General features: G+C 38.1%; 1 pseudogene across 1 annotated transcript in view; it reads left to right on the top strand.

Annotated features, from left to right (window-relative positions):
• Window positions 1-13,256, top strand: part of ODAD2P1 (outer dynein arm docking complex subunit 2 pseudogene 1) — a 76,294-nt pseudogene that overhangs the window by 1,454 nt on the left and 61,584 nt on the right. The window contains exon 2 of the transcript NR_138082.1: window positions 2,742-2,999. The product of NR_138082.1 is annotated as an outer dynein arm docking complex subunit 2 pseudogene 1 (transcript). The remainder of the gene's footprint in view (window positions 1-2,741; window positions 3,000-13,256) is intronic.

A 13,256-nucleotide genomic window follows, 5' to 3' on the forward strand; every position in this document is an offset into this window, starting at 1 on the left:
ATAGGCTGGCGTGCAGTGGCGCGATCTCGGCTAACTGCAACCTCCACCTCCCTGGGTTCAAATGACTCTCCTGTCTCAGCCTCCTCAGTAGCTGGGATTACAGGCGCGCGCCACCAAGCTGGCTAATTTTTGTATTTTTAGTAGAGACGGGCTTTTCACCATGTTGGTCAGGCTGGTCTTGAACTACTGACCTCGTGATCCACCCGCCTTGGCCTCCCAAAGTGCTGGGATTACAGGCGTGAGCCACCGCGCCCGGCCTCACCCTGAGGTTTTCTTAAGCTGACCAACCTTCTTTAATAAAACTGTGCATTGCTACCGTTCACTGGACTTGGAAATACAATTTGAGTAGATTCAAATGCTACATTTCTGTCAAAATTTATCTTGACGGAAATAAGAACGATTTTGCATTTCTTAGTTCTGTGCTAAGGGTCCTTCAAGAAGTTACTATATGGTATATTGACTAGTATAGCGTTAATAATCTGTTTAATTTCACATTTTTTCTTTAAAAATGTGCAAGAAGCAATCTTTATAAGATTACCAAAACAAATGTTATGCTTAAGATTAAAGACGAGCTGTTCACCTGTCTTTCTGTGTAAGATAAAGCTATTTGCAGTTATTTTACACTATTTTACACTTATTTGTGCTTATTTTATGCAACGTTGGGAAACGCAAGTCTCACACATACACATCAGAACATGTTTATGTGTTTAAAGCATTTCTCATCAGTTAGCAATAGAAACAAAATGCTGGAATACTAAAACAAACGCCCAGAACAAATTCGTGCACTAACTTCTACGCTTTATTTCATGAACACTTTGGTATATATGTCTGGATCAGTTGTTCTCGACCCTATCTGATCCAGTACTCGGTTTTTATAACAAAATTTTGTAATGCTGCTTTACGATCCTGAAATCAAGATCATAGATTATAATCGTACATATTTAATAAAGTTTTCAATATCAATAGCGTGCTAACTATAAAGAAAATAATTGTAATAAAATATCAGCATGTAAACGCTTGAGTTACCACTACGCTAGAGTATATAAGGAAGTAGTCAGATGTCCAGCCTTACACAGAATTACTGTAAACACAGCAGCCCCAAATGCAGACTGGTAACAGACGTGCCATTGCAACTTAAATTTCTCAAATAACCTTGCTATCAATGATGTCTTGGTAAAATTCCATGTAAAACAAAGTATGTACTACCTTCCTTTCATTTATGAAAGCTACAATTCTGGAAAATTCAGGGTATAATAAAACTGTGACAAAATACTTTGCGATTTTTGCAAAGTGTAGAAAAACTCTAGGCTCAGGTAGTGCTTATCTGAAGCTTTTCACTTATCAGATACCTGGAGGTTACAGCAGAATTCTTCCTTCTGAGGTACTGTCCTGCACAGAAGGGTATTTTACATCCTTGGTCCTCATCACTAAAGGCTGATAATGCCCCCTTTCCTATCGTGTTGGTAACTAGACATCTCTATAATATTTCTATACTCTATCAGCAGAAAGTACTGCCCTGTTGTGATCCAATGATCTCCTGTGATTGAATTTAATAGATAGTTCTAAGATTTAATACAGTGCAGAATGTAAAATCTCCAAGTCTAATCTTTGTACTTTGAGCCTTTGTAAAAATATAATGATCGGAAAAAACCTAATTTTATTCTATTTTTAATTGTATAACCATTCATCTAACATTATGGAAGAAATATTTTATCAACAAGTGTTATTACAATGACAAAGGAAACAAATATAGCTTATCTGCAAAAAAAGCCTTAAATGTTCATTATAAATTAAAGTCAGAAGTTGCGTTCTAACTTGGCTCTTATTTAATGTTACAGATACTGTTATTTTTTAAAAGATCTTCTTTTACAGACTAATTTCTATTTAGCCAATGTGAAGTTTGTTTCACTTGAATTTGTTTTAAATTTTACTGCTAGACTCTTCCGGTAACTAATTTAGATAAAAAGGCAGAAAGACTCTCACTTATTCCTACCTCTCTCACATTAACTCTTAAGAAGGTTGCAAATTACAGTAAAATGTCATTCTGGGCAGGATATATGGGCAGAGAATATAGTATTTGGATTGTCCAGATAGTCTGGTAATAGGATCAATGTTTCCTACATCAATTTTCAGAAAAAAATTATATTTCACAATACTGTTCTTATTCTATTTCTTTTTTTTTTTTTTATAACTCAGAAGGCACTTGGGGAAACCAGAGCTATCAGAATCATGTTCTTCAGTCATCATTGTGATGATGCAGGTATTATCACTATAAGAAAGTCAGGATAACAATATTCAGTTTAATAGTATAATTCTAAACAATGTGAGTCCTGGCTCAAAGGAGCATTTGTCCTTGAAACTGCTGGCTCCCAACAGAGCTGTGAACAAAAGCCCTTAATGCCAACCTCTTCCACTTCTTTTTTTCCACTCTTGGAGTTTTCTGTTTGGGTTTTATGCCTATCTGTTTGAATCCTCTCTCTAAGGCCCCAGGAAAATTAGAAAGAAGTTATTAATTTCAGAGCAGACAAATACAAGAAAGTTCTTAAATACTAGTCAGTTTTACCTAGTGCTGGTTTACTACTTTATTGAACTGAAGAGCAATTAGATAATGTTAAAAGAATCTTCCAAGATTAATAAGCAGAATGTGGGATGGGGAGTACTAGTTTAAAGTCTTGAAAATGAAAAATGTTCCAAGGAAAAGGTGGACGCTATTGTCTCTTTCTCTTTCTGCTCTGATGTAGTGCGTGTGCTAAGCTCAGGTCTGAGCACTGGCGGATCCCATGGGTGTGGCTCTGAGGAAATTGACGCAGTGGACTGCTGCCGGACATGGAACTGGAATCCTCGAAATCACCCCTCTAAATGAAGTGATATTGAAAGAAATTATTGTTTGTGGAGAATTTTATCTATAAACATCCCCAAGAGGCAAAATTTGTTTTTGTGGAACCACTTGAGTGGAACACAAGTTTGGCGCCCTCCGCATTTGAATCAGGTTATGTTAGGTAAGCCAGTTACTTGCTTCTAGGATTTGATATCTTCATTGTACATATTTTTATCGATTGGTTCTAGGTTTGGGGGCAAGTCACCTAACCTCTCTGAATCTCCGAAATCCTCTAAACCAGGGATTGCGAACCAGAAACACACCGGTGAAGTCTGAGGATATTCAACTTGGCCAACACAGTATCTTTCTAAGTTTTAAATTTAAAGTTTTTAAACACAATTTTAATTTTTAATTTTTGTGGGTAAATTTCTTTTGACAGGGTATACATTATCCAGGTCACTACACTGCCAACATCCATTGCTGCTTTATGCCTAGTCTTTCCACCCATATGTGTATATATATGTGTGTGTGTGTGTATATGTGTATATATATGTACTTTTTAGAGATAGGGTCTTGCTATGTCTCAAATTCCTGGCCTCAAGTGATCCTCCTGCCTCAGCCTTCTAAAATGCTAGGATTACAGGCATGAGCCACCACACCGGGTCATCCATATTCTTCTGAATTTTATTTCTATAAATGTGTGGGGTACTTCCGTATTACCTGCCAGATGCCAGGAGCCATTGGTTCTGTGACCTCTGATGTAGGCGAAATCTCTTCTGGTATTTAAATTGATCAATTTCTGGGATAGCAGCAGGAGGTGTGGGGGGGTGATGAATGATGAATTTTGATTTTGCTCAATATAAGGGAGACACTTCTTAATAATTAGTGCTATCCTCAGATTAGAGCCTTTCAAATCTGAGATGAGAAAAAATTGCTCCATCTCAAACAGTGAACTATCAATCTATCTCATTCAAACATGGCTAATATATATATACCACACACATATGCATAAATTATATGAACATAATTATAGTCGTATAAGAGTATTATTTCATTACACATAATTATACAATAAATAAGCTAACATTATGTGTGTGTACATATATATATATATGTATTTTTTTTTCTTTTTGCCAGCCTCAAGTTTATTTTGCACCTTAGGCATTCTATTTTCTACCACCTTGTTCTTCTTTGTTCTGGATATGAACTTTTAAAGTCCGATCATACCAAAAACAGTTCCCTAGCTAGCCAAGGCTTCCTGTAGATGCCTTTTCCGTTTTATCCCTTTGGGATTATTTGTGAGAATAAAGTCAGAATTTCAATTTTAGAACTGCAGCAAAACCATTCTTAAACTGCATTTCAAGAGCTCTTTAATTTTTATATTGGTCAGCCTTCTCTCTGAGTTGTTTGAAATCTTTATTATTATTATTATAATTTTTTTTTTTCTGGAGACAGAATCTTGCTCTTTTGCCCTGGCTGGAGTGCGGTAACGCTATCTCGGCTCACTGCAACTTCCACCTCCCGGGTTCAAGCGATTCTCCTGCCTCAGCCTCCCGAGCAGCTGAGACTACAGGCGCCCGCCACCACGCCTGGCTAATTTTTTGTATTTTAGTAGAGACAGGGTTTCACCGTGTTGCCAAGGCTGTTCTCAAACTCCAAGGCTCAGGCAGTCCACCCGCCTCAGCCTCCCAAAGTGCTAGGATTACAAGCGTGAGCCACTGAGCCCGGCTGAGATCTTATTTTTTTTAATGGTGCATTTTATTTATAACTATGCAAATGGTAACTTTCTCCAGAAGTGCTTGTCATTTCTGTATTGTTCAGCTTTTTTTTCCTAACCTTTGAAATATGATCTCCTACATAAAACCAATTAAACATATAATAACTATTCAGCTGATCGCAGTGGCTCGTGCCTGTAATTCCAGCACTTTTGAGAGGCGGAGGTGGGCAGATCACTAGAGATCAGGAGTTCAAGACCAGCCTGGCAAACATGGTGAAACCCCGTCTCTACTGAACATACAAAAATTAGCAGGACATCGTGGCGGGCACCTGTAATCCCAGCTCTTCAGGAGGCTGAGGCAGGAGAATCGCTTGAACTTGGGAGGCGGAGGTTGCAGTGAGCTGAGATTTCACCACTGCACTCCAGCCTGGGCGACAGAGTGAAACTCCATCTCTCTCTCTCTCTATCTCTCTCTCTCTTTCTCTCTCTCTCTCTATATATATGTGTGTGTGTGTATATATGTGTGTATATAAAAATTACTGTTTTTACAAAAATGCATATAAAGCAGATGACAGAAAAGAATATCATGATTGTAATTGTTTTGCCTCTGTATGAATTTTGTGCTCCAACCACAAAAATGACCACATCTGGCCCCTAGTTAGGTGTTCTGCGACACACACCGCTCAAATCAATCACTGTTTCTTTCCTATTCTTGTCCAGATTCTTTTTGCTTTATTTCCATTCTTGTATCTCAGCACTTATTTATTTGTTTGTTTATTTCTTTATTTATATGAGACAGGGTCTGGCTCTGTTGCCCAGGCTGGAGTGCAATGGCATGATCATAGCTCACTGCAGCCTCAAACTCCTGGGCTCAATGGATCCTCCCTCCTCAGCCCCCCAGGCAGCCAGGACTATATAAACATACTACCATGCCCCATCAATTTTTCCATTTTTTTTTGTAGAGACAGGATCTCACCATGTTGCTCTGACTGGTCTTGTACTCTTGGCCTCGAGATCCTTCCACCTTGGCCTCCTGAATTGCTGGTATTTCAGACCTGAGCTGCTGTGCCCAGCTCTGCATGCAGTGTTTATGCACTATGTTCCCTCCTGAGAAGGACATTTTGAAACAATTACCCCTTGATCTTTATACTTTTGTCACGTTTACTATGCAACTTTTCCTTGGGCTAATTTCTCAATCCATTCTTTTTGTGTCTGCCATTATTGATATCTTCGATGTTGGAAGGGTAGAGAGAGGTATTACTGTTGTATTTGAAGGAAACTGTGCTTGCCTGGCTCTGATGAAAACCAAGATTGCCTTGAAGAAGGCAAAGGGTACAGCTGAGATTTTGGTCATAATGGAAAGTACCAGATGCTTTAACATCCAGGTCTTGACTGTGCCCTTGACTGTGTCCCCAAACCAAAGAAAGTTCAGTAACCCGTAGCCACTCAGTGTTTGCTACGACAACAAGTAATGTCAACAAGAGATATTCTCAATTGCCCAAAGAATTTATTATCAAAACAGTCCCCGTGACCTCATTCATTGCCCTTTGGACCAAGCACACTCTTCTGGCTTCTCTGCTGTTAGTACACTATTATACATTTATTGAAAGTGGGGAAGCTACTTTCCTTCCAGACAGGACTCAGGTCTGGGCATCCATGTGTAAGGCCAAGATTATCCTGGAGGATTTGAGCTTGGAGTCTCTGGATGTGTTTCTACCAAATAGGAATGTCCTTGGATACTTTAAAGTAAAGGCGGATGCCTCTCCTTGTGGGTAGACCTCTCAGACCTCTTGTTCCAAAACAAGTTAAGTTTTATCTGCACTGAAATTCTGCCGAAGTAGATAAACTACCCCTTTTTTGTTGGTCTCTGTGGACATTGATGGCAATATATTTATATTTGTGGCCTTAGTTCTCATTTGATGTTGCACATTCAAAATGCACTGTGGGCAACAGTCAATAAAAGTTTGATCATCCTTTTTCTGATTAGGCTAATGAGCATCTGATACTGAAACTGATACTTTAGTCACACACTGGAAAGGTTTTATGTTTCATCAACCGCCTTCTGTCCTTTTGTGCAGATCGTTATTAATTGAATAGATGGGCATAGCCCTGTTCATGTTACGTGATTTGTCTTTTCCTTAGAATGATTCCCAGTGTTTTCATCATGTTATAACATTTGTCATCATCTTTCCACGTTTAATTTTGGGGTGGGGGCTGGGGGTCAAATAGCTCTACTTTCATTTCATGGAAATCATAGGTCTCTTTGTATTACCATTTGCAATTGCTTTTGTTCTTATCAGACAGGATGAAATTAATAGTCTTCCTAAAACACCTCAGAATGAAGCTTAAATTTGCTGTAAACTAAGAACAAATGACACCACTCAATGGCAATACCATCTGTGGTACATAGAACCCAAGCACTTTGATTCTTTCTAATGTAGCTTGGGAAATTTATAAATTGGATAAACATTCAGCATCATGTTGTGAAAATATTATTACCTGATTTTTTTTCCTTCTGTGGTAGAACTACAGTATGTTTTTTGAATCAAATGTGCTATAATATTGCCATATTTTAGTTTTAAATCTCACTCCACTGAATCTTAGTGATATATATGTGTTGAGATAAAAATATATTCTGGTAGGAGTTGGGACAGGAAATCAGGTCGCCTGAGCGATGGCTGTCTTCCCTGCAAGAATGCGCAATTCACACACAATTCACACCTCTCTGGACCTTAGTTTTGTGATCAATATCATGAAAGGCTGAATTTACATGATCTCTAAGGTTACACTCAAACTGTAAAATAATATTGTTTTATGAGACAATAATTATTGCATTTTGGTAAAATTTCTAAGTCACAGTAGTAGGGTCAGTGGCCATAAGTTTTGTTACTGAGCTGTTTATTTTTTGTCCTTGAAAACTGCTAAATAGTTTCTTAGCTATAGCCTTATTTTCTATATTACTATTTAGACATGCATTTATTAAGTAATAAGACACTAAATGAGGCCAGGTGCAGTGGCCCACGCCGGTAATCTCAGCACTTTGGGAGGTGGACATGAGAGGATCACTCAAACCCAGGAGTTCGAGGCTAGCCTGGGCAACATAGCAAGACCCTGCCTCTAAAAAATAAATAAATAAATAAACAGACCAATAAATAAACAGCCAGGTGTGGTGGCGTGCGGCTGTAGTCCCATCTGCTTGGGAGGCTGAGAGAGAAGGATCCCTTGAGCCCAGGAGTTTGAGGCTGCAGAGAGCTATGATTGTGCCACTGCACTCCAGCCTGGGTGACAGAGCAAGATCCCGTCTCTTAAAAAAAGACACTAAACTCGATACTGGGGATTAGAGAAAAAAGACATTTTTCTGCTTTTTTGTTTTAGAGTATAAACAGAATTTTTAGCTCCCTTCCATGATTCTGGTTTAAAAGTGTCTCCATCAGGTCACTGGAGTTTTTGATAGCTCATTCTTCCTGATCTTCCCAAGGTGAGTGCAGCATTTTTCTTTCCAAGAGCTCATTCTTCAGGTGTTAGAAACTGTGAGCCTGAAAACTGAAACTTCCTCTTCAAAATCTTGTCCATAGCTGGCGTTTTTTATTTTTTAAATCTATTTTTACTTTATTTTTTGAGATGGGGTCTCACTCTGTCACTCAGGTTGGAGTGCAGTGGTGTGATGTTGGCTCACTGCATCCTCCCGCCTCCCAGGCTCAAGTGATCCTCCCACCTCAGCCTCCCAAGTAGCTGGGACCACAAGCACGTGCCACCATGCCTGGTTAAGGTAGCTGGCATTTTATTTCTGACTTCTCTGTTAAGTTACAGGCTTCAACTGGTGGGAGCAATGAAAAATGTCACCTGTGCCCTTTGGTTTCTCACCAGGAGTTTCACTCTCTCTAGTTAAGTAGCTTGGTATCTTTGGTATTTGGTCAGCCTGTTACTTAGTCCTCTCACCATCCACTTAGTGTGATGGCCAGCCCTTGATGTGAGTAACCTTTAGGTAACAGGCCTTTAAGAAATCTCTTCAGTTCTAAGGACATTATTCTAGAAGCTTAATTTTAGAGAAAATATACATTTTGTACACAATGCATGTCATTGGCAAGTCTAGAAATATTTTATTCATTAATTTATTCCACAGATATTTACTAAATGTCTTCTATGTGCAGTTCCTATCTGAAGTGCTGGAGATAGGGGCAGTCCCTATCTGCACCCAGCAGAATCGGACTCATAAAGTCCCTCTGTGAGCCCTCTTTTGCTACTGTAACACATTGCCACAAACCTAATGGCTTAACACACACAAATGTATTATCTTACAGTTCTAGAGGTCAGAAGTCTAAAATGAATCTGCAGGGCTAAAATCAAGGTATCAGCAGGGTTGCATTCCTTCCGGAGGATCAAGGAGAATTTATTCTTCGCTTTTCCAGCTTCTAGAGGCCCCTATGTTCCTTGGCTCATGACTCTTGGCTCATGGCTCCACATCACTCTGACCGCTGCTTCCATCAGCATATCCCCGTCGCTGCCTGTGTCCCTCCTGTCTTTCTCTTATAAGAACCCTGGTGATTATGTTTGGCTTCCTCCAAATACCCAGAATAGTCTCCCCATCTCAGGATCCTTGACTTAATTTCTATGCAAAGTCCCTTTTGCATAGAACATACAACATTCACAATGTTGTACAAATATCACTATTGTCTATCTCCAAGTCTTTTTCATCTCCCCAACTTAAATTCTGCACCCATTAAGCAATAATTCCCCATTCCTTCTCCACCGACTTCCTGGTTAACTCTAATCTGCTATTTCTATCAGTTTGCTTATTTTAGATATTTCATGTCACTGGAATGATATAATATTTCCCCTTTTGTATCTGGCTTCTTTCACTTAACCTAGTGTTTTCAAGGCTCATCCATGCTATAGCATGTATCAGAATTTCATTCTTTTATGGTAGAATATTATTTTGTGTATGTATAGACCACATTTGGTTTATGCATTCATCCCTGGATGGACACTTGGGTTGTTGCCACCTTTTGGGTATTGTGAATAATGCTGCTATGAATATTGGTGTACAAGTATCTGTTGAGTTCCTATTTTCAATTCTTTTGGGTCTTTTCCTAAAAGTGGAATTTCTGGGTCATATGGTAATTCTGTATTTAACTTTTGGAGTAAGTGCCAACCTGTTTTCCATGGGGCCACACCATTTTCATTCTCAACAGCATTATCCAAAGATTCCACTTTCTTCACATCCTTGTTAACACTTCTTATCTTCTAGGTTGTTGTTTAATTACAAACATCTTGGTCAGTGTGAAGTGGTATCCCATTGCGGCTTTGATTTGCATTTCCATAATGATTAGTGATGTACACCATATTTTTATGTATTTGTTGGTTATTTGTATATCTTCTTTGAAGAAATGTCTGCTTGAGTCCTTAGCCTATATTTTAAATTGATTCTTTTTGTTGTTGAGTTGTAGTTTTTGTGTATACTCAATATTAACCCCTTATCAGATAGAAGATTTGCAAATTTTTTCTCTTATTCTGTGGGTTGCCTTTTAACTTTTTTGATAGTATCCTTTGATGCACATTTTTAATTTTGATGAAGTCTAATTTACCTATTTTTTCTAATGTTGCCTGTGTTTTTGATATCATATCATTGTCAAATCCAAGGTCATGAAAATTTGCCCCTATGTTTTTCCTCTAAGGATTGTATAGTTTTTAGCTCTTAAATTTAGGCCCTTGATCTCTTTTGAGTTGATTTTTGTCCATTTGGAGCCTAATGAAATTTAGGCTCCAATTTCATTCTTTTGCATGTGGATTTTCAGTTTTCCCAGCACAATTTGTTGAAGAGATTGTTATTTCTCCTTTGGATGGTCTTGGCATTCTTGTTGAAAATGAACTGATAATAGATGGAAGAGTTTACTTGGGGACTTTTAATTCTCTTCCGTTGGTCTATATGTCTTTCTTTATATCAGTATCACACTGTTTTGATTACTATAGTTATAATAGTTTTGACATCAGGAAGTGTGAGTCCTCCAACTTTGTTCTTGTTTTTTAATACTGTTTTGGCTATTTGGTATTCCTTGACATTCTGTATGAATTTTAGGGTTGGTTTTACATTTCTGCAAAAAATGCCATTGGGATTTTGATAGAAATTTCATTGAATTTATGAATTGCTTTACATAGTATTGCCATCTTAACCATATTAAGTCTTCCAGTTTATGAACAGGAGATAGCTTTCCATTTATTTGTATATTTAATGGCTTTCAGCAATGTTTAGTGTTTTCAGTGTACAAGTTTTTCTCCTTCCATATGTTTACTTGTTAACATTTTATTATTTTTGATGCTACTGTAAATGAAATTGTTTTCTAAATTTTATTTTTGATTATTCACTGCTAGTGTACAGAAATACGACTTTTGAGTGTTGAAATCAGATCTAATTTTTGAGAGTTAAAGTCAAGACTGAATTTCGCAACTTCATTGACTTCATTTAACTTTCTGTGTGTGTATATGGGTGTGTGTGTGTATTCTTAGGTTTTTCTGCATACTAGGTAATGCCATCTGCATACAGAGATAGTTTTACTTCTTCCTTTCCAATTTAGATGCTTTTACAACTTCTTTTTCTTGACCAATTACTGTGGCTTGGGCTTCCTGGACTATGTTGAATAAGAGTGTCGAAAGCAGGCATCCTTGTCTGATTCCTGATCTTTTTTTTTTTTTTTTTTTTTTTGAGATGGAGTCTCACTCTGTCACCCAGGCTGGCTGGAGTGCAGTGATGTGATCTTGGCTCACTGCAACCTTCACCTCCCCTCCCAGGTTCAAGTGATTCTCGTGTCTCAGGCTCCCAAGTAGCTGGGATCACAGGCACCTGCTACCATGCTCTGCGAATTTTTAGATTTTTAGTAGAGATGGGGGTTTCACCTTGTTGGCCAGGCTGGTCTCGAACTCCTGGCCTCAAGTAATCTGCCTGCCTCAGCCTCCCAAAGTGCTGGGATTACAGCTGTGAGCCACCATGCTTAGCCTGACTCCTGATCTTAATTGAAAATCTTTTAGGCTTTCACCATTGAGCCCGATGTTAGCTGTGGGATTTTCCTATATGGCCTTTAGCATGTTGAGGAAGTTGCCTTCTATTCAGTTTTCCTTTTCTTTTCTTTTTTTGAGACAGAGTCTTGCTCTGTCACCCAGGCTGGAGTGCAGTGGTGTGGTCTTGGCTCACTGCAACCTCCGCCTCCCGAGTTCATGCGATTCTTCTGCCTCAGTCTCCCTAGTAGCTGGGATTCCAGGTGCACACCACCACACCAGGCTAATTTTTGTGTTTTTAGTAGATATGGGGTTTTGCCGTGTTGGCCAAGCTGGTCTGGAACTCCTGACCTCAGGTGATCCACCTGTCTTGGCCTCCCAAAGTTCTGAGGTTACATGTGTGAGCTACCATGCCCGGCCCCAGTTTTCCTTTTCTTGGTGCACCCATCATTTGTTAGACCCTCCTGAGTAAAAGACGCACATGGGAGGGAAAAAATTGAGGATTCGCATGTTAGAGAATACCTTTATTATTTTCTCTCAGTTGTTTCTAGAGTAATGGTTTGAAATTAATTTTTAGTTAGCATTTCAAAGGCTTATGTTTCCATGTGAACTGTTTGTTTTGGCTTTTTCCCCTCTTTGGAAGCTTTTAGGGACTTCCTTGGTGTTCTGTAATTTTTGTGGTATGGTTTATGCAGATTTTTGTTTGTTTTTGAGATTCATCTATGCTTTTGCATCTATCATTAATTTATTGCTTTTATGGATGTGTATTATTCCATTGTATGGGTATGCCACAATTTGTTTATCCACTCTCCTGTTAACGGGTGTGTGGTTATTTCAGGTTTTGGGCTATTACAAATAAAACTACCAAGAACATTTTTGTGCAAGGATTTGTATGATCATATAGTTTCATTATGCCTAGATAAAAACCTAAGAGTGAAATGGTAAGGTCATATGGTAGTTGTATGTTTAACTTTTTAAGCAACTGGTAAACTGCTTTCCATAGTGGTTGCAATATTTTACATTGATGTTGGCAATGTATGAGAGTCCCAGTTCTTCCACATACTCATCATTAACTGATATGGTCAGTCCTTTAACTACAGACATTCTAATAGGTGTGTACTGGTATCTCATTTGGTTTTAATTTGCAGTTGTTGAATGCATCTTTTCATGTGTTTATTGTCCATTCACATATCTTATGTGGTAAAGTGTCTATTCAGACTCTTTATCCATTTTTTTATTGGGCTATTCAGTTTTTTATTGAGTTGCGACAGATCTTTATATATGTTCTTGGCTTATATATTCTGTCAGATATATGATTTATAAATATTTTGTCCCAATCTGGGTCTCATATTTTTATTCTCCAAACAGTGTCTTTCAAAAAACAAGTGTCTTCAATTTTGATAAAGTACAACTTATTTTTTCCTTATAGTGTTTTATCTTATAATGCTTTTCCAAACCCAGTATAATGAAGAATTTCTCCAATATTTTCTTCTAGAGGTTTTTCAGTTTTACCTTTCCAATCTATGTCTGTGATCCACTTTAATTTGGTTTGTGTATATGAGGTATGGATCAAAGTTCATTTTTTTCTTTTGCTTACCTAGTTGTTCCAGCATCATTTGTCAAAAATAAACCTATTGTTTCTCCACTGAATTACCTTTATAACTTTGTCAAAAATTAGTTGTCTATTTGTCTGTGAATGTATTTCTGAACACTTCCTACTGTAACTTTGAT

The sequence above is a fragment of the Homo sapiens genome, chromosome 10, assembly GCF_000001405.40.
Source record: "Homo sapiens chromosome 10, GRCh38.p14 Primary Assembly".
In the NCBI taxonomy this organism is placed as follows: Eukaryota; Metazoa; Chordata; class Mammalia; order Primates; family Hominidae; genus Homo; species Homo sapiens.